General features: G+C 41.8%; 1 protein-coding gene across 1 annotated transcript in view, besides 1 other annotated feature; it reads left to right on the forward strand.

The window, feature by feature from the left end:
* CACNA2D3 (calcium voltage-gated channel auxiliary subunit alpha2delta 3) overlaps positions 1-26825 on the forward strand; it is a 952006-nt gene that overhangs the window by 347037 nt on the left and 578144 nt on the right. The window lies entirely within an intron of this gene.
* Positions 17077-17270: a silencer, noted in NCBI's record as "fragment chr3:54520692-54520885 (GRCh37/hg19 assembly coordinates)". NCBI's record gives its function as "represses an EF-1alpha promoter that drives an FKBP-Casp9 reporter gene in an ReSE screen in phorbol 12-myristate 13-acetate-treated (for megakaryocytic differentiation) K562 erythroleukemia cells {active_cell/tissue: K562(+PMA)}" and the evidence as "EXISTENCE:reporter gene assay evidence [ECO:0000049][PMID:32094911]".

The following is a 26825-nucleotide window of genomic DNA, read 5'->3' on the forward strand; positions in this document are numbered from 1 at the left end:
TGACAGAAGTAGGCTTCAGAAGGTGGGTAATGACAAACTCCTCTGAGCTAAAGGAGCATGTTCTAACCCGATACAAGGAAGCTAAGACCCTTGAAAAAAGGTTAGAGGAATTGCTAACTAGACTAACCAGTTTAGAGAATAACATAAATGACCTGATGGAGCTGAAAAACACAGCACGAGAACTTCATGAAGCATACACAAGTATCAATAGCCAAGCCGATCAAGCGGAAGAAAGGATATCAGAGATTGAAGATCAACTTAATGAGATAAAGTGTGAAGACAAGATTAGAGAAAAAAGAATGAAAAAGAAGGCAAAAAGCCTCCAAGAAATATGGGACTATGTGAAAAGACCAAACTTACTTTTGACTGATGTACCTGAAAGTGATGGGGAGAATGGAACCAAGTTGGAAAACACTCTTCAGGATATTATGCCGGAGAATTTCCCCAATCTAGCAAGACAGGCTAACATTCAAATTTAGGAAATACAGAGAACATCACAAAGATACTCCTCAAGAAGAGCAACCCCAAGACACACAAATGTCAAATTCACCAAGGTTGAAATGAAGGAAAAAATGTTAAGGGCAGCCAGAGAGAAAGGTTGGGTTACCCACAAAAGGAAGCCCATCAGAATAACAGCAGATCTCTCTGCAGAAACCCTATAAGCCAGAAGAGAGTGGGGGCCAATATTCAACATTCTTAAAGAAAAGAATTTTCAACCCAGAATTTCATATCCAGCCAAACTAAGCTTCATAAGTGAAGGAGAAATAAAATCCTTTACAGAGAAGCAAATGGTGAGAGATTTTGTCATCACCAGGCTTCCCTTCCACGAGCTCCTGAAGGAAGCACTAAATATGGAAAGGAGGAAAAACTGGTACCAGCCACTGGAAAAACATACCCAGTTGTAAAGACTATCAAGTCTATGAAGAAACTGCATCAATTAATGGGTAAAATAACCAGCTAGAATCATAATGAAAGGATCAAATTCCTACATAACAATAATAACCTTAAATGTAAATGGGCTAAATGCCCCAATTAAAAGACACAGACTGGCAAATTGGGTAGAGTCAAGACCCTTCAGTGTGCTGTATTCAAAGGCACCCATAGGCTCAAAATAAAGGGATGGAGGAATATTTACCAAGCAAATGGAAAGCATGAAAAAAGCAGAGGTTGCAATCCTAGTCTCTGATAAAACAGACTTTAAACCAACAAAGATCAAAAAAGACAAATAAGGGCATTACATAATGGTAAAGGGATCAATGCAACAAGAAGAGCTAAGTATCCTAAATATATATGCACCCAATACAGGAGCATTTAGATTCATAAAGCGAGTTCTTAGAGACCTACAAAGAGACTTAGACTCCCACACAATAATAATGAGAGACTTTAACATACCACTGTCAATATTAGATCAATGAGACAGAAAATTAACAAGGATATTCAGGACTTGAACTCAGTTCTGGAACAAGCAGACCTAATAGACATCTACAGAACTCTCCACCCCAAATAAACAGAATGTACATCCTTCTCAGCACCACATCACACTTATTCTAAAATTGACTATGTAATTGGAAGTAAAACACTCCTCAGCAAATGCAAAAGAACAGAAATCAGTTTCTCAGACCACAGTGCAATCAAATTAGAATTCAGGATTAAGAAACTCACTCAAAACCACACAACTACATGGAAACTGAATAACCTGCTCCTGAATGACTACTGGGTAAATAACGAAATCAAGGCAGAAATATATAAGTTCTTTGAAACCAATAAGAACAAAGACACATCGTACCAGAATCTCTGGGACACATTTAAAGCAGTGTGTAGAGGGAAATTTATAGCACTAAATGCCCACAGGAGAAAGCAGGAAAGACCTAAAATCAACACCCTAACATCACAATAAAAAGAACTAGAGAAACAAGAGCAAACAAATTCAAAAGCTAGCAGAAGACAAGAAATAACTAAGATCAGAGCAGAACTGAAGGAGATAGAGATACGAAAACTCTTCAAAATAATCAGTGAATCCAGGAGCTGTTTTTTTAAAAGATTAACAAAATAGCTAGACCACTAGCCAGACTAATAAATAAGAAAAGAGAGAAGAATCGAGTAGACATAATAAAAAATAATAAAGGGGATATCACCGCTGATCCCACAGAAATATAAACTACCATCAGAGAATATTATAAACACCTCTACACAAATAAACTAGAAAATCTAGAAGAAATGCATAAACTCCTGGACACATACACCCTCACAAGACTAAACCAGGAAGAAGTCGAATCCCTAAACAGAGTAGTAACAAGTTCTGAAATTGAGGCAGTAATAGACTACCAACGAAAAAAAGTCCTGGACCAGATGAATTCACAGCTGAATTCTACCAGAGGTACAAAGAGGAGTTGGTACCATTCCTTCTGAAATAACTCCAAATGATAGAAAAAAAGGGACTCCTCCCTAACATATTTTGTGAGGCCAGCATCATCCTGATACCAAAACCTGGCAGAGACACAAGAAAAAAAGAAAATTTCAGGCCAGTATCCCTGATGAACATCGATGCAAAAATCCTCAATAAAATACTGGCAAACCAAATCCAGCAGTACATCAAAAAGCTTGTCCAACACGATCAAGTTGGCTTCATCCCTGGGATGCAAGGCTGGTTCAACATACACAAATCAATAAATGTAATCCATCACATAAACAGAACCAATGACAAAAACCACATGATTATCTCATAGATGCAGAAAAGGCCTTCGATAAAATTCAACACCCCTTCATGCTAAAAACTTTCAATAAACTAGGTGTTGATGGAATGTATCTCAAAGTAATAAGAGCTATTTATGACAAACCACAGCCAATATCATACTGAATGGGCAAAAACTGGAAGCATTCCCTTTGAAAACCAACACAACCCTCTCTCACCACTCCTATTCAACATAGTATTGGAAGTTCTGGCTAGGGCAGTCAGGCAAGAGAAAGAAATAAAGGGTATTCAAATAGGAAGAGAAGAAGTCAAATTGTGTCTGTTTGCAGATGACATGATTGTATATTTAGAAAACCCCATCATCTCAGCCCAAAATCTCCTTAAGCTGATAAGCAACTTCAGCAAAGTCTCAGGATACAAAATCAATGTGCAAAAATCATAAACATTTCTGTACACCAATAATAGATAAACAGAGAGCCAAATCATGAGTGAACTCCCATTCACAATTGCTACAAAGAGAATAAAACACCTAGGTATACGACTTATAAGGGATATGAAAGACCTCTTCAAGGAGAACTACAAACCACTGCTCAAGGAAATAAAAGAGGACACAAATAGAAAAACATTCCTTGCTCATGGATAGGAAGAATCAGTATCGTGAAAACGGCCATAATGCCCAAAGTAATTTATAGATTCAGCGCTGTCCCCATCAAGCTACCGTTGACTTTTTTCCTAGAATTAGAAAAAACTACTTTAAATTTTGTGTGGAACCAAAAAAGAGCCCGTATAGCCAAGTCAATCCTAAGCAAAAAGAATAAAGCTGGAGGCATCATGCTACCTTACTTCAAACTATACTACAAGACTACAGTAACCAAAACAGCATGGTACTGGTACCAAAACAGATATATAGACCAATGAAACAGAACAGAGGCCTCCGAAATAATGCCGCACATCTAGAACCATCTGATCTTTGACAAACCTGACAAAAATAAGCAATGGGGAAAGGATTCCCTATTTAATAAATGGTGTTGGGAAAACTTGCCAGCCATATGCAGAAAACTGAAACTGGATCCCTTCCTTACACCTTATAAAAAAATTAACTCAGGATGGATTAAAGACTTAAACAGAAAACCTAAAACCATAAAAACCCTAGAAGAAAACCTAGGCAATACCATTCAGGACATAGGCATGGGCAAAGACGTCATGACTAAAACACCAGAAGCAATGGCAACAAAAGCCAAAATTGAGAAATGAGATCTAATTAAACTAAACAGCTTCTGCACAGCAAAAGAAACTACCATCAGAGTGAACAGGCAACCTACAGAATGGGAGAAAAGTTTTGTAATGTATCCATCTGACAAAGGACTAATATCCAGAATCTACAAGGAACATAAACAAATTTACAAGGAAGAAACAAACAACCCCATTAAAAAGTGGATGAAGGAAATCAACAGACACTTCTCAAAAGAAGACATTTATGCGGCCAACAAACATATGAAAAAAAGCTCATCATCACTGATCATTAGAGAAATGCAAATCAGAACCACAATGAGATACCATCTCACCCCATGACGATGGTGCCATTTAGAATGGCGATTATTAAAAAGTCGGGAAACAACAGATGCTGGAGAGGATATGGAGAAATAGGAATGCTTTTACACTATTGGTAGGAGTGTAAATTAGTTCAACCATTGTGGAAGACAGTGTGGTTATTCCTCAGGGATCTAGAACCAGAAATACCATTTGACCCAGCCATCCCATTACTGGGTATATACCCAAAGGATTATGAATCATTCTACTATACAGACATATGCACGCATATGTTTATTGCAGCACTATTCACAATAGCAAAGACTTGGAACCAACCCAAATGCCCATCAGTGATGGACAGGATAAAGAAAATGTAGCACATATACACCATGGAATACTATGCAGCCATTAAAAAGGATGAGTTCATGTCCTTTGCGGGGACATGGTTGAAGCTGGAAACCATCATTCTCAGCAAACTAACACGGGAACTGAAAACCAAACACTGCATGTTCTCACTCATCAGTGGGAGCTGAACAATGAGAACACATGGACACAGGGAGGGGAACATCACATACCGGGGCCTGTCAGGGGGTGGGGGCCTAGGGGAGGGATTTCATTAGGAGAAATACCTAATGTAGATGATGGGTTGATGGGTGCAGCAAACCACTATGGCACGTGTGTACCTGTGTAACAAACCTTCATGTTCTGCACATGTATCCCAGAACTTAAAGTATAATAATAACTTTAAAAAGCATATAGTAGACCACCTGGCATGCAAGTACTTAGCAAATTTTGGCTATAATTGAAGAAGGAGCTTCATTAAAAAAGGAAGAAGGAAAGATTAAGAGAGAGAGAAATAAGAGAAAGAAGGGGAAGAGGGAAAATGAGACCATCAGGAACAAACAGAAGAAGGAGGCTGGTCTAGGTCCCAGGATTCCATGCACTTAGAAAAATAAGGCAAGTTTGAATTGAACTTTTTCATTTTTCAAGTGAAGTTGAGTTCTCGGATATACACTCTGCTGCATACTTCCCTCCACAATGCTGAGTTTTAATATCATTTGGTTGAAGCTTTGAGATACTGGGCCGAAATAGCTTCCAGAATGCCTCTGTAATCCAGTGGTGATATTAGTGAGGCCTAGGAAATCATTTTATAGCCACTAGTCTTTTTATTTGTAAATTTATTCTACACTGAAGGTGTTAGCATCAAACTTTTCACCCTGACTGAGCACAGACTCTTGGGAGAACTGAAATCTAAGTAAGAGATTACCTTGCACATTGCGTCAAGTCAGGGATGAATGAAGCAACTTAGGCGACAGAAATTATCCTGGTGGAGCCTGAGACCTGAGACTAAAGGCTGAGGGTGTGCTTTGGTCTCACCACCAAGCTTTGCTGGTGAATTCTCTACCACCATAGCTGTCCCTTTTGTGAGTTGCAAAGGAAAGAATGTTCTCTGTGTGCAACAAATAGTCCTGATTTAATCTGGGGCAGAAAATCCCCTAGCTTTGCCAGTGATCTGCTTGTTGGAGAATAAAATAATTGAATTATCTCCCTGGGCAAAAGCAAATGGCATGGAAAGTCTCAATTGCAGCAAGAGGAAAAATAAGAATAAGGGACTGTTTTGCTTTGTTTTATTTTGAGCTTTTGGTACTGAATTCCATTTATTTAGAACAAATGAAGAAATCTTCTTTTAAGAAAGTTAGTCAACATACTTGGGAGGTCTCATCAGTTTCTTTGGGTTCTTCTTGGGATGATGGGAGAGCTGCTGAAGTTCCCTTCCCCCAAGATCAACTATTAGTCTCTGCCTATAATGCTGTCTACAATCAGCCTTGCCCTAAGAGTCAAACTGCTTGCCAAGTTATGCGTCCCTCTCCCAGCTTTATTGAGACATAATTGACAAATAAACAAATAAACATTGTATATATTTAAGGTATACAAAGTGATGTTTTGATATACATATACATTACAAATAACATATCCATCTTCTCACATGGTTACCATTTGTGTGTGTGTGTGTGTGTGTGTGTGTGACAGAGAGAGAGGAAAACACTGAAGATCTACTCTCAACAAATTTCAGGTATTCAGTGCATTAGTATTAACTATTATTGCCATGCTGTAAATTAGGTCTGCAGAACTCACTCATCATATAACTGTAAGTGTGTATCCTTTGACCAACATCTCCCCCTTTTCTCCACTCTCAGCCCCTGGCAACCATCATTCTGTGTTACTGTAAGTTTGATTTTTTTTTTTTTTTTTAGATTTCACATATAAGTGAGATCATGCAGTATTTGTCTTTCTGTGCCTGGCTTGTGAAACTTAGCATAATGTCCTCCTGGTTCGTCCGTGTTATCTCAAATGGTAGCATTTCCTTCTTTTTAAAGGCTGAATAATATTCATATATATGAATATTATATTAATTATATTAATATATAATATTCCTGCGTGTGTGTGTGTATATATATATATCACATATATCACATTTTTTTTATCCATTCACCTGCCAATGCACATTTAGGTTGTTTTCATATCTTGGCCACTGTGAATAATGCTGCAATGATTGTGGGTGTGCAGCTGTCTCTTTGAGATAGTGATTTACTCCCTTTTGATATACACCCAGAAATGAGATTGCTGGATCATATGGTAGTTCTAGTTCTGTTTTTTTGAGGAACCACCACACTGTTTTCCATAGTGGCTGTACTAACTTACATTCCCACCAACAGTATACAAGGGTCCCTTTTCTCCCCCTCCATGCCAACACTTGTTACCTTTTGACTTTTTGATAATAGCCATTCTAACGGGTATGAGATGTTACTTCTTTGTGGTTTTGATTTGCATTTCCCTGGTGATTAGTGATGTTGATCACCTTTCCATATACCTGATGACCATTTGTATGTGTTCTTTGTTCAAACGTCTGTTCAGGTCATTTGCCCATTTTTAAACTAGGTTGTTTGTTTTCTTGCTATTGAGTTGATATGAGTTTCTTATCTATCTTGGGTATTAACCCCTTATTGAATATATGGTTTACAAATAATTTTGTATGGATTTGAAGGCAGTTTCACAAATTTCTAAGACATCAATAACTTTATTTTATGTTAAAGATCCAAGTGGTTAGTGTGATAGACCATGGACACCTGTTCCATATCTGGTTGTAAAGAAACAGTAGATACCATGGTAGTTTCATGGCTGGATACCCTCATCAGTGGGTGGAGAGAGGAGGCTTGGGCTTTGTAGGGAAGGTCAGCAGAGACCAGCCTAAGGCATGACTCATACTAGTCACTGTGGAGATATTTGTTGACCAGTAAATACTATCAAGATAACTTGGGCTTGTGGGAATGATACCAACAGATAATTCTCATGGGGTATTAGCTCATATGTAAAGTGATGAGATGGGTATCTGGCATAGAGTACCTATAACCTAAGAGGAAAGAACTATCCTTTTTTTTTTTCAGATGGGGTAAATGAGGCCCATAATGAATTAGCAGCTTGGCCAAGGTCGTTGCGGGAAAACTTAGTAAGTCGCCAAGCAGTGATTGGAAGCCATGCATTGCGAATCTAGGACATGGATATTTATCCTCCGGAGCAGACTGCCTCCCGTTACAGTGTATTTAAAACTTAACAGTCATCACTTCCTCCACCCCAGCCTGCTTCTCTTCTTGTGTTTCCCCAAGAACAGCCCCAGCACCCACTCATTGACACAAACCAGAAATTTGGGGAGCATCTTTGACTTGCCATCTCCCTGGGCCCCCACATTAATCATTCCCAGAGTTTTCTCCATTGTCAAATCCCCATTCTCTCCTCACCTGTCCATTTCTCTCCACCTCCAAGTCTGCTATCTTGATTTAAGTCATCATGATCTCCTCCCTGAATCTCTGCCTCCCTCTCCTGGCTTGTCCTCTGGCTCCAGGTGTCTGTCTTCCAACCACATCTTCACACGGAGATCAGATTTCTCCTAGAGAAATTTTTGGACTTCACATTTGACCCTCTCTGAGGTTAAAACTCCTTGGTGGATCCTCAGTCCATGGCTGGAGCAGTTTTTCCCGTGGTGTACCCTCTTGTACTTGATCATTTATGGGTGGTAGAGAGGAGTTAGGGCAGGATATTCACTTGGGATATTGAACTAACAGTTGCTTTCTTTCAATTAACCCCTCTGACAACCTCAGGAGGAAAGTCTTAATTCACTATTAATATGTCTTCAACATTTTCCTCATTTTTGCTTATCTCCATTTTTAACCAAGACAGAGCAGGCAACTATAGTTAGCTAGAATGCCACTACTTATTTTTATTCTATTTTTATGATTTCTTTTTACTTTATGGCTCATGATACAAGTTTTCCATTTTCTGGGAATGCTACAAAGTTATCTTTTAGAAGGAGTATATTTAAATTTAAAAATAACAGCATAATAAAAAATTTAATTAATGACTAGAGCAAGTGATATAATACAGTAGCCCTCTTTGTATCTGCAGTTTCAGTTATCTGAGGTGAACCATGGTCTGAAAATATTACATGGCAAATTCCAGAAATAATTCATAAGTTTAAAACTGCAGCCAGGCGCAGTGGCTCACACCTGTAATTCCAGCAGTTTGAGAGGCCAAGGCGGGAAGATCATGAGGTCAGGAGATTGAGACCATCCTCGCTAACACGGTGAAACCCTGTCTCTACTAAAAATACAAAAAATTAGCCAGGTGTGGTGGCAGGCGCCTGTAGTCCCAGCTATTAGGGAGGCTGAGGCAGGAGAATGGTGTGAACCTGGGAGGCGGAGCTTGCAGTGAGCCAAGATTGCACCACTGCACTCCAGCCTGGGCAACAGAGCGAGACTCTGTCTCAAAAAAATATATATATAAATATGTGTGTGTATATATATATATATATATTGCTTGTCATTCTGAGCAGTGTGATGAATCTCGCATCTTCAATGTGCATCTTCCCTTTGTCAGGTGTATCCACGCTGTCTACACTACTCACCCATTAGTCAGGCGGCTCAATTATCAGATCTGCTGTTGTGGTATGGCAGTGCTTATGTTCAGATAACCCTTATTTTACTTAATAATGCTTTTCTAATAATTACTTATTACTTATTGTTAATCTCTTACATTGCCTAATTTATAAATTAAACTTTATCATTGATATGTATATATATAAAAAACCCATCTCATATATAGGTGATATGATTTGGCTATATCCCCACCCAGATCTCACCTTGAATTGTAGTTACTGTAACTACATGTGTTACCATAACACATGTGTTGTGGGAGGGACCCAGTGGGAGGCAACTGAATCATGGAGCGGTTACCTCCATGCTGTTCTCTTGATAGTGAGTTTTCATGAGATCTGATGGTTTTATAAGAAGCTTTTCCCCCTTTGCTCGGCACTTCTCCTTCCTGCAGCCATGTGAAGAAGGACATGTTTGCTTCCCCTTCCACTGTGATTGTAAGTTTCCTGAGGCCTCTCCAGCCAAGCTGAACTGTGAGTCAATTAAACCTCTTTCCTTTATAAATTACCCAGTCTCAGGTATGTCTTTATTAGCAGCGTGAGAATGAACTAATACAATAGGGTTCAGTACTGTTCATGATTTCAGACATTGACTGGGAGTCTTGGGACATATCCCCTGAGAATGATGGAAGACTACTTCACAGCGAAAATTGATCATAGCAGAAGAAATATGGAAGTTTTGGAAACCGTAATTATAGGCCTTTCTGGAACCTGCTTCCTGCTTGTGTTGCCAGCCTTAACTCTTCCATATTTTCCTTATTTTAAATTGCTACTGAAAATGATGAAGTCCTGAGCTTGGCAGTGGCTCCCACCTTTTTCTCCCTCCCTTCTTGGAGACATCAGAAACCGATAGGAGAGAAGGCTACACATTAGTCTGTGTGTCCTGCAGCCATAGAAATGTCATGACAGACACAATTTTACTATACAGTTTCATGGAAAGAAGTTATTTAAGCACTTATCAAATATGTGGCCAAACACTTGAAAGCAAATGATTAAATGATGTATTTAAATATTTTATAGTAAAGCATGCTCAGTGGGCAGCTATTAGTCAAATTTTTACAGGTATTCATTTAAGCAAAATCATACCATCTTTTGAATCTGGGAAATCCAGCTCTACTTAGTAGCCTGTTTTACCCTTTTGGAGTTGATTCTGTAAAAATCCAGGAGAATTTCTTCTCCTCTCAATCTTTAGCCAAAATATGAGAATTGTAGGAAATTGCTCATCCCCAAACTCCATGTGCCTGCACATGCTCACACAAGTCGAATCTGTAATAGGACTTAAAACTCTCCTGTCCCAGCACTTTGGGAGTCTGAGGCAGGAGGCTCAATTGAGCCCAGGAGTTTGAGACCAGCCTGGGCAACATAGTGAGACCCTGTCTCTACAAAAAAAAAGAAGGAAAGAAAACTTCCTCCTGAATGCTAAAGGTGTGCTACAGGTGTTCCTCCTCAAATAATTGCACTGAAATCACTGACCCTCAGGATGTATTTCTTTGATTTTTCATCATGCCTTTTCCTGGGGGTCTGCAGGGAACATACCATTGTTGAGATGGTTGCTTGGTACAGAGCCATGTGGATCTGCAGCCCCTCACCCTACACCCCACAGTCGCAAGTTCTTTACTTCTTAGATCACTTCGTTGTGTTTTCTCCCCATATTTTACTGTCTTGGGTCATCACCAACGTGATTTTTAGTTCCCCTGTAGTAGTAAATACATGTTTCAGTTACTGAAATGAGGGTTTTATGATAAGAAAAATCATAAAAGCAGGGGTCACAAACAAGTTAAAGAATATAAAATATGTATGAAATTTTTAATTGAAAAATGGGCCTTTCTGTAATATAATGATAGTGGCTGGCCAACTTGGGCTGCCTTCCTCCTTCTAGAGATATTTCTATTTTATCTCCATTTGGGGGTTCTTTTGGTGGAAAACATGGGCTTGTATTTCCATTTACCACTCTGCTGGATGGTGTTAAATGCCTGGAAAGCCTGGGAAGACTCCAGAATCTGAAATGTATGAAAGCTGGGAGGGAACTCTTAGGGTCATCTGGTGGAAATTCCTTTGTGACAGATGGGGAAACAGAGGTCTAGAAAGTTGAAGATTCATCCAGAAAAAGAAAACAATCCATAGAAGAATGTCCAAGCCTTCTCACTCATAGGCCTGAGGTTATTCCTCTCTATAATGACCACAGGAGTCCCTGGGTCCTGGGACACTCTCTGATTCTGTATGTCTTTGTCTCTGTTGGGGAGAACCAGCAAGGTTTGGAGATGCCTGCTTCCTGAGGGCCCTGAAATCCATGGAGATGGACTGACTGCCCTTCTGCTAGTGCTTCTAGGAAGGGGAATGTAGAGGTCAAACATGAAAGAGTGGCCTCTGGCTAGGCTGCCTCTAGATAATGAAACAGTAAGGACATTTGTTGAGAAGCCACACATGTATTTTGTCTTCCAAAGCTTTGGGACATTCATCAGCTTTCCTCAAACCTTCACTCCCCTCTGATGTTTCATTTGCACAGCCAAAGTGGAGTTGTGTTTCCAGTGTGTTCCTGGGATGCCTTCAGGATTTCTTGGAAACCTTAAGCAGATGGTTAAGTTGTGTGATCTCCATTTCCAGCCTCTGGAAAACCTGTGGCTAATATTCCACAATGGCCCTGGAATTTGGGGTGGCTTCTCAGTGACCTGGCTTCCGTGGCTTCTCTGGCAAAGATCAAAGACTTCAAAACAGTTGGAGCGTGTGAAATGATTGGTAACTGTGCTCGGTTCTTCCACAGCTATTTGTTCTTGCAAGCCCAGGCTTTACATCTTTTTCCAAAAAGTGTACACGGCCTTCATTCTCCAGAGCGGTTGAAAAGCTAATAGACATTCTCATTTTATTCCACCCCTGACTACAGGCAACTCTATCACTAGATGAGTTTGTCTGAATTCCATTTGCTTAGGCTTTATGAAGTGAATAAATTTGAATTAATGTGGAGCTTTCTGAGGAGGGGGAAGATATGCTTTGAGAGGTTAAGCAATGTCTGTGTTAGTTTATATAAATGAATCTTTATGGGTGCAAATGTGCTCACACCACGTTACCATATTGGCTCTATTAGTTTATACAGAAATTTCATTAAGTGATGTGAAAATATACATATGGGGATTTCTACAATGACTTCTTCCTTTTGAACAGCCAGATATTTACGTTCCTTTGGGTTTCATTGGCACACAAATGTATTTTCCCTCTTAAAGGTAACACTTGGAAGAAATATGCATCAAGAAATATGTCTATAACAACTCAAATTCCCAACAAATTACATTTGCTATATTTGGTAACTCTCTAACAGTGTTTCTTTCCATAATAATTGAAGCAGAATTGAGATGTCATAACCGAAACTGATACTGCAGACGCAGTTGTTACTTGGGAGCAGAGGAGGGGCAGTGAGAAGCATTTGGCTTTTCTGTAAGTTGAAATTTTTGTTGTTGTATTTTTATCTGTAAATGATTAGGAATGGAACTGTGGTGCGTAAACTCATGAATGTTAATATGGCTATAGCTTCTGCTTCCGTAACACTTAGTTATTCTATCCCTTATTACACTCTTACAGACGTTGATAGTTCAACAATTGGAGCTTTTAAACTAATGGAAGGCTTTCAACCAAGTAGAATGCCTTCATTACTAGCAAGCAGGGAGATCTGAATGTGAATTGAGGTGGTTTAAACCAATTTAAGGAAACATTTTTATAAAAGACTAATGCCCATAATTTATGTTTATTTTCTGTTTTCTGTGATTTGAATAAATTAGGGCAGGGATTTATATTATTTGTCTTCTTTTCACATGCCTCACCCAGTGCCCACCTGCATTAGTCCATGATAGCTCTGATAACAAACAAACCAGAAACCTCAGGGGATTCACACATTGAAGTTTATTTCTTGCTCATGTAAATGCCACTGGGTCTCGGAGCTCTCCAGGCAGTTCCTTTCCAACGAGTGACTCAGGGACCTAGGCACCTTTCATCCTGTAGCCATGTCATTTGGAAAATGTAGCTTCTGGAATTACTACAAGGGGAAGAGAGAATGTGGGAGACTCATAGCCCCCTCTCCTGTACTTTAGATAGGAAGTGACACACATCACTTCTGCTCACAACCCATTGGCCAAACCAGTCACATGCCCAACACCAATTACAAGGGATGCTGGGAAATGTAGCAGAGTGCATGGAACACTCTGTGAGCATTACTGTTCCCACCACCTTAACATGTCGCAGGGGCCTAGCAAATGCTAATTGAGAGAATGAATGAATGAATGAATGAGTGATGAATCCTTTTAAATGGCTTGGCATTGAGAGCATGCGATTGCTATTTTAAATTAATTGAAAAAGGATAGAAAATTGCTGGAGGAATATTAACCTTGAGGGCTTTTTGCATAAATTTGCACTTTTTGTATGCATTTGCTGTAAGAGCTTGTTGCGTAAGTCTAAATGCCACACAATGATTTTTTTTTGAGGTCTTGATGCACAGAGCCTAAAAAAATTTTGTTTTTGACCCTAAAGGCTTCTAAAGCAAACAGCATCTTGCAGTTGATTAGGTGGAAGTGTTTCTTAGCCTTTACGGGGTGCATGGTGGGAACAGACCTTGTTAAGGTTACATAGAAGGTTAACCTCCATTGACAAGACAAAATTGAAGTTGTTTTCTCTTGCCACAGAGCAGTTCCCCGATCTGTATTGTCAGCACAGAAGAGTTTATCCGTTTTCTCCAGAGCATTATCTCAAATGAAGTGTCAAGGCACTAAATGGATTTACCTTCTTGTATTATTTTTTATTTTGATGTTTAATTTTTTATCCTATTTATTTATTGTCATATGAAGTTAAAACAACAACCACAAAAATAAATAGGGAAGTCTGAGAGAGAAAAATATCACAGTCTCACCATCTTTCACCTTGTTTCTTAGTAGTTGTTGCAAAACCCATAAGGAATGTCATTGTGTTGTAATTTCTAATTTTTGTTTCCTTGACTTATGACTTCTCATTTCTGTAACTTATTGTAATTCAGATAATAGGTCAACTCATTCAAACATATTCAGAACACCTACTAAATACAAGACAATGTATGATATAGGTATATTGTAAATAAATGACTGCTTTTCTATAAGATATTGTTAAATTGAAGTTCTGGAAAGTTGCCCGGAGCAACTCACCTGGAGTAAGCACTGAAATTGTTCACATCAGGTTTCAAGCATAGATTCTGTCACCTCCTAGCTGTAGGACCTTCAGATGGTTATGTAATCATGTTGTGCTGCAGTTTCCTTATGGGGTGAGATGGGTAGGAGGGTTTGAGTAAGACCTCAAGAAACCCTAAGCAATGAAACACTACGGTACTCCCAGCATATCACCCTTAATGTAACTTTAAATAACATGGCCATTTTTTAAAAAGGACACAGGAACTACATAACATTTTTTTTCAGATTTTGGAAAATTCTAAATATGTCTAGAAAAACTTTTCTTTCTGTTCCATTCTCCTTCCTATTCTCCATGACCCCCTCCCCGCGGACTGTATCAGGTACAGCCTGTTGGAAATCCAGCACCGCACATTAGGCACACCAGTGGTAAGTTTACTTGTTGAGTTATCACCTTTTTTTTCCTTTTAATCAGAGAGGCAGCTCTGTGTTGAAGATGCTAGGTAGTGATGGAAAAGACATTAGGAAAATTTGTTACCGTGGTAACCGGGGATGGACATCATGACCTTTTGTGATATGCATGCTGTGGCCTTGGTAGTCTCTTCCCCTAATTAACATCCTGTGAGAAACGTGAGAGTAAATCACCGGGGCAACTGGACCACTGCGATATTAAGTGTGAGAACATTCTAAATGGCAATAATAATCATGATAATGAGGCCACATATTCTGTGTCTATCTTTTAATTGCTTCTTAACTCTTGTAACTGGAAATGGTGAAGTTATTATGATGTGGAAACTAGGAAGTGATTTATTTCTTACTTAAATTGGACTTTGTGCAGAAACCCTTTTTAGTCTGTTGTGAATTATGAGAGTATGAGAGTTCCTTTGAAGAAGAACCACCTAGGTAGATAATTTTTTTTTTTTTTTTGGGGGATGGAGTCTTACTCTGTTGCCTGGGCTGGAGTGCAGTGGTACAATATCAGCTCACTGCAATCTCTGCCTTCCAGGTTCAAGCAATTCTCCTGCCTCAGCCTCCCGAGTAGCTGGGATTGCAGGCACCTGCCACTACGCCTAGCTAATTTTTGTAATTTTAGTAGAGACGGGGTTTCATCGTGTTGGCCAGGCTGGTCTCGATCTCCTGACCTCGTGATTTGCCCGCCTCGGCCTCCCAAAGTGCTGGGATTACAGGCATGAGCCACCGTGCCCAGCTCACCTAGGTAGATAATTTTAAATACAGTTTACTACTACTAATAGGCAACACCAAAAATATGGATTTGCCGTAGAATCAGGGGTTATCATCATGCTTGAAGTATTATGCTCTAGAACCCAAGTACCCTGGTTGAGCCCTGTTCTTTCACATTTTGCCACTCAGTTTTGGATTCAAATTCATAGGAGAATTTTTTAACTTGAACCAAGGAAGTCTAGTTATTGGACACTAAAGGAACTATAGGATGGTTGGTCTTGTAAGCTGGCTTTCTGGTTTGTACCTGCAAGCCACATGTTCAGATTCAACTTATGGTTCTTGAGTGTGAGCCGTCTAGCAATCAGTGTCATTTACACTGATGATTTTATATATGATATGTTAGCTCAGAAAGTCCTTATGAAAACCCTCCATAGCATAGTATAATAGACACTTTTTTTTTTTTTTTGAGACAGAGTTGCCCTGTCATCCAGGCTGGAGTGCAGTTGTGTGATCTTGGCTCATTGCAACCTCCATCTCCTGGGTTCAAGCAATTCTTCTGCCTCAGCCTCCTGAGTAGCTGGGACTACAGACGTGCAACAGCACGCTTAGCCAATTTTTATATTTTTAGTAGAGATGGGGTTTCACCAGGTTGGCCAGGCTGGTCTTGAACTCCTGACCTCAATTGATCCACCTGCCTTGGCCTCCCAAAGTTCTGGGATTATAGGTCTGAGTGCCCGGCCAATATGCAGCTTTTAAAGTCTCTGACAGACTAACAGTGACCCCCCAACAGCCCCTTCATTCATGAGGGTGGGCCCAATAACTATGCACAACTTGACTCCTTTGCTTCCTGTCCTGTCCCTGCCCCCTGCATTCCTTTCCTAAGATTTGGGAATTGCACGAAAAATTTCAGCCTATTCCGGGCTAGTCTCTGAACAGAAAGACATAGACAGGGAGAAGCTGTGAGTGAGTAGTTCTCTTTTGTTCTATAAATGAATGGGCTAAGAAAGCCAGACTGTAAAGAGGAGACTAGTGCAAACACCTGGAGAGAAGTAGAAAGGAGAGGTGAGAGAACTTTGCCCAGGAGTTGGAAGGCTTTTTTGATTCTGGTTCCAGGCCCTTCCTGACAGCTGGTTGCATTTAGTCCTTTGAATTCCATCAAGCACTTCCATATCTTAAGATAAATTCCATCACTTCCAAAGAAATGTCTTAACTAAAATGAGTAGATGTTGTTGATGCTTTTTCTCCTGGGAGAAAAACTGAGATTCAGGGAAGCCAACCTAACTGCAAGTGTTCACTGCAGTGTTGCTGAACACTTTCTCAGGACTCCAGCAACCCAAGTCAAATTAGAATAAAAAACAAAAAGGGAATGTATTGACTCACTAATCTAGGCGTTCCAAGATGTGACTGCCTTTCAGTATGATTTGTCAAGGATTTCACCAGAATCATTTGATCAAACTTTACTCTTCCTTGCCAGCTCATGACTCTGTTTCTGTTAGGCTTTGTTCTCAGAAGAATGATCTCTGTGTGGGGCAAGATGACCACTGGCAGCCCAAAGCAGCAGCACCACATCTTGTGACCCTTGACCCAGGGTGCAGGGACCTCAGTCTCCCAGCATACCCAGCATTCCCTGGAAAAGGACTGTAATGGGCCAGCCTGGGTCATGTGCTCTTGAGTGGAGTGTGGCTGACAGGGCCCTCTTGATTGATAGCCCCTCTTGTAGTGGAGAATGGGGTTTCTAGTTCTGAAACAAGGGAGGAGAGATGCTGAGCAGGCCAAAGCAACCTTATTCACAGCATTTGCCTGTTTCTCTACCTGACAACATGGTAGAGAGAGAAATGCTGCTTAGATGAGTGACGCACTTCCATATGCTGATTTTCTCCTTAGGTATTAGTCACCTCCTTTTCCTCCTACTCTAGAAAATAAGTCTTGATGCAGATGATTGGGGATGAACTTATTATTCACATAACCTTATACCCACTATGATTCAAAAAGGCAGTCCTGCACTTTGAGAGGCCAAGGTGGGAGGATCCCTTGAGCCCAGGAGTTTGAGACCAGCCTGGGCAACATAGTGAGACCCCATCTTTACAAAAAATGAATAAAATTAGCTGGGAATGGTGGCATGCACCTGTAGTCCCAGCTACTTTGGAGGCTGAGTTGGGAGCATCGCTTGAGCCCAGGAGGTTGAGGCTGTGGTGGACTGAGATTGTGCCACTGCACTCCTGCTTGGGTGACAGAGCAAGACCCTGTATCAAAGGGGGAAAAAAACCAGACAGTCCTTTGCAAATGTAGTACTTCTGTCATTAGTAGCAACAAGCATGGCACATCTTACTGTCGCTTGGGGACAAGTCCTGGAGTGGAGACTTCTGCTCTTGGATCCATATTATGAGGATAAGTGTGTCAACACAGTTTTTGACACAAGCCTACTTATTCAAATCATATTCGAGGGTCTCCCAACAACCAGGCCCTGGAGTTCCAACCATGAACAAGATTAAAAATATTTCTCTTCTTAGGGAGCTCAAGTTTCTAATGGAGGAGATAGACAGAAAGCTTAGGAACAATTTTAAACGCTTTAGATATTGAATGCAATAAAGAAAAAAAATAGGGGCATGGGCCTGTTGTTCAGTATGGTAGCCACAAGCCATGGGTGGCTATTTAAAGTTAAAGTAAAATTAATTAAAATGAAATAAGAGTAAAAAATCAGTTCTTCAGTCACACTGGTGACCTTCACATGCTCAATGACCACATGTGGCTAGTGGCTGTTGTATCAGACAGTACAGGTACAGAACATGCCCATCATCATACAAAGTGCTGTTGGATGGGGCTGGGCTTGGCAGTGACTGGAAAGGTACAGGAGGGTGTTTTCAGGAAAGGTCTTCCTGTGGAGCCAGCATTTGTGCTAAGACCTGAAGCCACCCATACAAAGGTCTTAGGGGAATAGGCTTCGAGGCAGGATGAACAGTAAATGCAAACATTCTGAAATGGTAATGAGCTTTGTCTATTTGAAGATCCAAAGACGGCCTGTGCATCTGGTTGAGTTAGAGAGGGAGGAAAGAGCTAGATCAAGCATGACCTTGGGTTATTCCATACCAATGGGATGGGTTGCTTAAGCAAGGTAGTTTTATTTCATTTTAAAAGGATCATTCTGGCTGCTACGGGGCAGAGGGAAGCAAGGGTAGAAGGAGCACATAGGAGGACTTCCGAAACCAACTGATGAATGAAAGAACTGATGAAAGGCCCTGCCAGGCTGGGGTGTCCATTAGTCTGATATCTTCTTATGAGGGCTTTTTGGGTCATGATGGAGCCCTCAGGGGAGTTCCTAGCTACCTTATGAAACCCTCCATCATGGCATTAGACTGAACAGTGGCCCGACTAGCCTCACAATAGCCCAGGCCCTTGGACTCTACACAGTTCCCCTAACAGTCCATCCTGACTCTCTAGGTCATAGCTTGGCCCACTATTGGCTGCCCTTAGCCCCTCTGAGCTCCTGCCGTGTCCTCAGGCCACGGTAGGACATTGCTGAGGTGGGACACTCCCTTCTCTCTTTCTTCGCATTCCTTCAACAGTCTCTACTGAGTACCTGTTCTGTACTCTGTATTGTATTAGATACCGAGATTACAGTGGCACAGGAAGAAACAGCTATGCTTCCTCCAAACATGTATCTCACACTGTAGAGCAGAGGCCCTATCAACTGAGTAATCACTCAGATAAGTGTGCGATGACCCCTGGGATAAGTACTATATGGGACAGGCTCGTGAGGCTCCAAGATCCCCAGTCAAGGAGTTCAGAGGCAGCTGTCCTAGGCACATGATAACTGAGCTGAATCCAAGGAGGAACCAGGATTGTGTGAGCAGAAGGTGGAGCAGGTATCCTGGGCAAGGGGACCAGCATGGACAGAGACCACATGCATAGAGAATCATGGAGCAATGGAGCTACCAGCAGAGACCAGGGAGGCTGAATGGAGGGAGCAGTGGGGAGGTGGTGCTGGTGTGGCTGGCCAGGAGGGCAGAGGCCAGAGTGAGCAGGGCCTCATCAGCCGTGCTAAGGATCTTGTCTTGTGTCCTAAGAGCAGGAAAAAGTCCCTGAAGGATTGCATGCTGGGAGATGGCCCACTCAGGTTGGTATTTCTGGAAGCTCGCTATGCCATAAGGAGATGATATTGAGGGGCCCAAAGTGGGTGCTGAGGGATCAGATGTGGGAGACGACTGTGTCTTCACCCTGGCTTTCAGCGTTTCCCTCTGTCCTCTGCCTGTCAGTCAGCTCCACTGCAATAGTGACTGCTGCCATTTGTTGGAACCCTGGTAGGTAGAACCACATGAACTTGCTGGTGTTCGGCACTTTTTAGCCCACAAAAGGGTAGTTTTATACAGTTCAATCTAATATTGTGTGCCAGGCACTGAACTGAGTGCTTTTGACTTTCTCCATTTATTTCTCTAGGAAACTTGACTATAATCTGGGTGGTTATAAACTCATTTTATAGATGCGGAGCTGAGAGGCTGTAGATAAGGAGCAGAGCTGGGGTTGGAACTCAGTGTGCTGGAGTTAAACACTTCACTCCATGGCTTTTAGAGTGAAATGCCCAGTGGCCAGCGAGGCCTGCAGAAAGCTGCAGTGGAAAGCCTTCATAAGTGGCTTGTTAAGTAGGCCATTAATACTTGTATTTGAATTTTCTCAGGCTGGAGATTCCAGATGGCTGGAAGAGGGCTATTCATTACCTATTTTTTTTAAAGGAACTGTGACACTTGGGGGATTATAAATGAGTTAATACTTAGAAATATTCTGGAACAGATCATTAAAAAAATCATTTTTCACATATGAGGAGAAAATGAGATGATTGAGTAGTAACCAGACGGCACTAAACCTTTGGAGAGGGGCATGGCTGAGTAGCAATGATGTTACTTCCCCATAGGACACACATGCACCGGGAGCTGGGTGTTTGTTTGGCTCATGTAGAACTAGTATTCCTACTAATTTTTATTTTTTAATCTAAGTTGTAAAAAGCTGGCCATCATCCCAGAGCTGGGAAGAAGAAAACAATAAGGAAAAAAGGAGAAAATGAAAACACATTAGGAACCTGCTGCAGGCACTGTGTGGTGACTTGTGTACATTGTATCCCATTCGATCACAGAAAGACCTGAGGAGGTGGGCGGCACCAATCCCACTTCACAGGAAGAGAAACAGTCCGAGACTCAGCAGTAAGCACCGTTCCATCCCTGCGCAGCAGCAGGCTCCCACGCCCTGGCTCTCCGGGCCATACCAGGCCGGTTCCCGCTTCATGAATGGAATGCAGGGTTGAATCCAGGCAGAGGAAGGTGTCAACAGAATCAGGAGGTCCATCTAATTCTTCCTCTGGCTTGATCTAAATTGCCAGGGAGAGAGTGGGAAGGCTCTTCCTAGCTGGAGGTAAAACACAAAAATGTTTCCCTAAGTGGTACAGACAAGGACAGCCATGTCTGTTCAGTCATCTTCACACCTTTGACTGAGGACCTCTGGGCACTGTGCCTGGTGCCAGGACTGTGGAGGTGAGAAAGGCACCTCCACAGATGCTGGGAAGGACAGATGCTCCAGGAATCCAGGGATGCATAGGTGGCTACCTGTCCTTTGAGGGCTCACCAGTGGAGTGAATACCATGAGGGAAAGGTTCAAAGAACCCGCCAGTTTCCCCCATGGGGAGAAGAGTTCAGAGGAAGCGGGGTTGCTGGGAAGGGGAAAGGCTTCAGGGAGAGTGGGAGACCCTTGAGCCCTGCAGGTGTGATGGAGCCCATCACCATGGATTCCTGGTACTGAGTTCTTACTTCTCTTCCCTGTGCTGGATGCCGTGATAGGAGCTGGGCATACAACTGTGAAGGAGTTCACAGTTACTCCACGTTACAGATGAGGAGACTGAGGCACATATAAGGAATATATACGTATCTCATTATCCTATCCATATTCTATATTCTCTCTCTCTCTCCTGTTGGTTCTGTTTCTTTGGAGAACCTTGACTAATAGTCACTTACTGAGTGGGCACTGGCTTTGCTGCTGACCATGTGTTCTAGATCTTTCCGCCAGGCTGGATTTTTGGAGTAGGACTTGTTCTTAGGGTCAGTGGTGCATTGATGTGAGAGAAGCTCAGGTGCGCCTCTTAGGGAGTTTGCAGCCAGTTGGCTCTACAGCATGCACACAGGAAACAATGCGAGAAGCTACAGGAGGAATTTAATTTCCACGCCACAATGTGTGGAGCCTAGGAAACAAGCCCTTTGCGGTGGCACCTTGTATTTTTGTTACACAACTTACCCTGCAGGACAGGGAAGCAGAAGCCACCCTTGAAAACATGGTGTCTCAGCCTGGGCTGCACATTGGACTCACCTGGAGAGACTGAAAGAATCCTGCTGCTTGGACCTCTGTCCAGGGATTCAGAGTTCATTGTTCTGAGGTTTGGCCAGAGTTGAGAAGCACTGTCTTAGGACACCTTGATTTCTGAGATTATGTGCTCTCACCTGAAAAGAGGGAACCAGAGCAGAGTTCAGGAAATGAGGGCTTGCGGGCCATGTCCTGCCAGCTGCCTGTTTTTATAAATAAAGTTGTATTGGAACACAGCCACACCCATTTTTAAAATGTATTGCATTTGGCTGTTTTTACTAAAACAGCAAAATTGAATGTTGCCACAGAGACTGTCTGGCCTGCAAAACCTAAAATATTTACTATCTGGATAGTTCTTTGCAGAAAAAGTTTGCCAACCTCTAAACTGGGGAGTAATGAGTTTTGAAGGACGTAGGTGGTGGAGGAGAGGCTGGGCCACCAGTGAGAAGGTAGCACCCTTTCCTCTGGTTGAGATATAGACCTGGAAACTTTCTCAACACGCACAGGCAGTCACTGCCAGCCCACCAGGGAGGGCACGCAAACATAGCCTTTTTGCTGTCTAGGAGTTCTTCCTATAGAATCTGAAGCTTTGCTCTACATGGTTACAGGAGCCTAGATAAACTGGTGATTAGGCCAGAGCTGCTGGATTCTACAGGGGCAGAGGGCTGGGCTGGAGCAATGGATTCCTTTCCCTGGTGGCACCTCTATCAGAATTGAAAATTGCCACTTTCTGTGACAGTGGCATTAAAGGAGAGGAACTCTGAAGGCAAGAGGGATGCCCAGGTGGTCCTTAGGGAAGCTGCAGAACTGTCAAGGTATAACAAAGCCAGGACCCTTGTTCTTTTCTTCTTATGGTGATGGCACAGACCAGCAATTCTGGACACTTCTGGAGTCATCTTTACCATACTACTCTGGACCAGCTCCTCTGTCCAAATCTGTGACAGAAGCTGTGCAACGATAGGACCATGGCCTCCTACAGCTTTCCCTTATCCCAGGCCATAGGAGCCATTACTTATAGCGTGATCTTCCTCACCCTCTGAGCAGCTTTCCCTGGCCTCACCCGGCCTGAAGAGTTGATTGTGAAGGCAATTTTGTGGAGTGCAGGTCTTGTGAGAGGCCTGTGGATCAAATGGATTTTGACACTTTCATTTGGTCAACCAACAACTGATTACCAGTTGTCACCGCACGAGGACGTGCTCCATGTGACCCCAAACCCCAGTATTCAAACACTTTAACTTAGAAAGGGTTAAAGGCTCTGATAAGTCCTTCAATGAATAAACCTCTTTGCCTTTCCTTAAACTCAGCTCTCCCTGTATTTCCCAAACTTTGTTCATTGAAAAAGAAAAAACCTGTTTCCCTGTGAGTATGCTGTAGAATGACTTTCTGTTCTACAGCTCGTTCTCTGGACATGCTGCATCTGGGGCTGCACGGAGTGAGCCCAGAGAGAATGGAATGCCCAGAGAGAATATGCTACTTTAATTTCCATTTACATTTAATGTCATTTTTGTAGTTTGTTTTATAATGTACAAATGTTAAGACAATGGCAGGTAGTACATATGAGTTATAAATAAATAAATATGTATGTGGGAGGTATTGCTCAAAACTTTTTTTTTTTTTTTTTTTTTTTTTTTTTTTTTTGGAGACGGAGTCAGGCTCTGTCACCCAGGCTGGAGTACAGTGGCACAATCTCGGCTCGCTGCAACCTCCGCCTCCTGGGTTCAAGCAATTCTCCTGCCTCAGCCTCCCGCATAGCTGGGACTACAGGCGCACACTACCACACCCGGCTAATTTTTGTATTTTAATAGAGACAGGGTTTCACTGTGTTGTCCAGGCTGGTCTCGAACTCTTGAGCTCAGGCAGTCCACCCGTCTTGACCTCCCAAAATGTTAGGATTTCAGGCGTGAGCAACCGCGCATGGCCTCAAGAACTTTTTAGTGAAAGGAATGCTTGATCAAAAATGTTTGGAATCCTTGGTCCAGAAAATAATGTCCAGTGCTTATTCCAGTATTCAGGACCTTCTCTGCCCTGGCCCCCACCTGTTTTTGTCTCTGAACTCCCCATTACTACCCTCTCATTCAGCCAATCTGAGATATGTCCTATTCCCTTCCCTAGTTACCAGCTCCTATGCCTTTACTTCTCCTGTCTCCCTCCTTATCTTGGCACGTCCTAATCCTCCAATTTTCAAGGCCCAGCCTCGTGCATCTTTGCTGAAAATCTCTTCCAGTCAGAGAAGTTTTTAATAATTTCTGTCCCTTGAATATCCGACAGCATCCTGCTGCCTGGGTTGACCAACTACAGCCTGAAGGCCAAATCTTTTTTGCAACTTTGTAATTTTCTGGTAAATGGCTGGAGCACAGCCAGGCCCGTTTGTATTATCTATGGCAGCTGTCATGCCACAACAGTACAGGTGAAGAGCTGCAACAAAGACTCTGAAGCCCAAAATATTTACTGTCTGACCCTTGACAGAAAAAGTTTGCTGGCCCCTGCCCTATTGAATAACTTTTAAATACTTACTCATTGAACCACTTCCTGAGCCTGGGCCTGGGCCAGTATCTGGTGAACAACACACCCAGTACTTTGTCTCTGGTATTTTATATGCCACATTTTGTCCCCTAGATTAGTTCTGTTGTGCTCCCATCACACTTAGTAGGTCATCAGACACACCCACAAAAGAATTAAATTTACTCGGATGACATGGGGAACAAGGATTCAGAAATACTGAGGTGACTTGGACTAAACATGTCTTTTCCTGCATTGATCATATGGACAAAACCACTGAGCCTCATAATTAGAGCAATGCATTCCAAAGACTGAGAAATGATTCTTCTTGTTTGTACTGAATCAGCCTTTTCAAAATCAATACAGAAGAGACAAATGGGTTTGGGGAGGAGAAGCAGAACACACAATCGTCCCTGGTAAATGATGAGCGCCATTGAGCAAAATCATGCTTAGGCTTTCATCCCTATTTCATCTGCATTCTGGGCAGCGCAGATTATTCAATTAAATGGCAGTTTTGAAGCTGCTTTCAGAGAGCCTGTGCATGAACCATTATTCATTGTCCTTTGTCAAGCAGGCTGAGGCTTCATTTTGCTATTTTAACTTCCAGTTCTATGAAACGATGGAGTGAAGGCTTGAGTTTGGAAAAGGTAGATAATATGTGAAGCGCTTTGGTCTATGGAAGATTAAGACTTCCTTCAACAGGGTGCTGTATTAGTCTGTTTTCACACTGCTATAAAGAATACCTGAGGCTGGGTAATTTATAAAGGAAAGAGGTTTAATTGACTCACAGTTCCACATGGCTGGGGAGGCCTCAGGAAACTTACAATCATGGCAGAAGGGGAAGCAGGCCTGTCTTACATGGCGGCAGGTGAGAGAGAGGGAGAGAGAGAGAGCAAGCATGAAGGGGCATACTTATCAAACATCCACATCTCATGAGAATTCACTGACTGTCATGAGGACAGCAGGGGAAACTGCTCCCATGATCCCAGTCACCTCCCATCAGGTCCCTCCCTCGACACCTGGGAATTATAATTTGGATTACAATTCAAGATGAGATTGGGTGGGGACATAGAGCCAAACCATATCAGGTGCTGTGGGAAGAAGTGCTGCTGACATGTGTCCTAGAAAGCAGACTGCTTAAGAGAAGGGGTCCTTCCAATTGGCATTGAGCGGTTCATGGGCTGGTCAAGGTATTTCCGCACAGTGAGGAGTGCCATTGATTGGTCTTTCAGCAGAAAAGTATGATGTTTTTATTTCTGGGTGACATCTTACAGTGAATTTTGCTTTAAAAAATGGTTAGGGATGGAATTTTTTAACTTGAGTTCTGTTTCTATAAACTTCTTGAATTAATAATTCAAAAAGAATTGAAAGGTCTTTAGTGACTTTAATTTTTTTTATTGAGGCATGAATTTCTATATGGAAAAATGCGCAGTTCTTTAGCATACAATTCAATGAGTACTGACAAATGAATCCACCTGAGTAACCCATGTATCATCAAGATAGGGCAATTTGGCCAGGTGCAGTGGCTCATACCTGTAATCCCAGCACTTTGGGAGGCTGAAGAGGGCAGATCACTTGAGGCCAAGAGTTCAAAACCAGCCTAGCCAATATGGTGAAACCCCATCTCTACTAAAAATACAAAAATTAGCAGGGTGTGGTGGTGCACACTTGTTATCCCAGCCACTTGGGAGGCTGAAGCAGGAGGATCACTTGAACCCAGGAGGCAGAGGCTGCAGTGAGCCAAGATCAGGCCACTGCATTCCAGCCTGGGTGGACAGAGTGAGACTCTGTCTCAAAACAAACAACCAACCAGAGAGGGAAATTTCCAGGACTCCAGGAAGCTCTGTTGTGTACCTCTCTAGTTGACTCTCACTCTCCCTCTGAGAAGCAACTCCTGAGTGCCATCACTATTGAATAATAATTTTGCCTGTATTAGAACTTCGTATGTATGAAATCATGCATATGTACTCTTTTGTCTCTGGTTTCTTTTACTCAGAATGTTTGTGAGATTCATTGATACTTTGAATGTATCAGTAAGTTGTTGTTAAGTAGTAATCCATTACATGAATATATCACAGATTTGTTAATCCTTTAACTGTTAATGGATATTTAGGTTATTTCTAGTTTGGGGCTATTATGAATGGGGTTTCCGTGAATATTCACACAAATATTTTTGTGGGCATATATTCTCATTTCCCTTAGGTAAATAGCTAGAAGTGGAATTGCTGGGTCATATGGTAGATATATGTTTAACATTATAAGAAGCTGCAAAATGTTTTTCCAAAGTGTTTGTACCATTTTATATTTCCACAAGCAATATATGAGATATTTGATTGCTCCATATCCTTGGCAATGTTTAATATTACCGGAATTTTTAATGTCAGCACTTCTAGTGGGTATAAAATGGCATCTGATTGGAGTTTTATTTTTGTACTTTCCTGATGACTAATGACATTGA

The sequence above is a fragment of the Homo sapiens genome, chromosome 3, assembly GCF_000001405.40.
Source record: "Homo sapiens chromosome 3, GRCh38.p14 Primary Assembly".
Taxonomy (NCBI): Eukaryota; Metazoa; Chordata; class Mammalia; order Primates; family Hominidae; genus Homo; species Homo sapiens.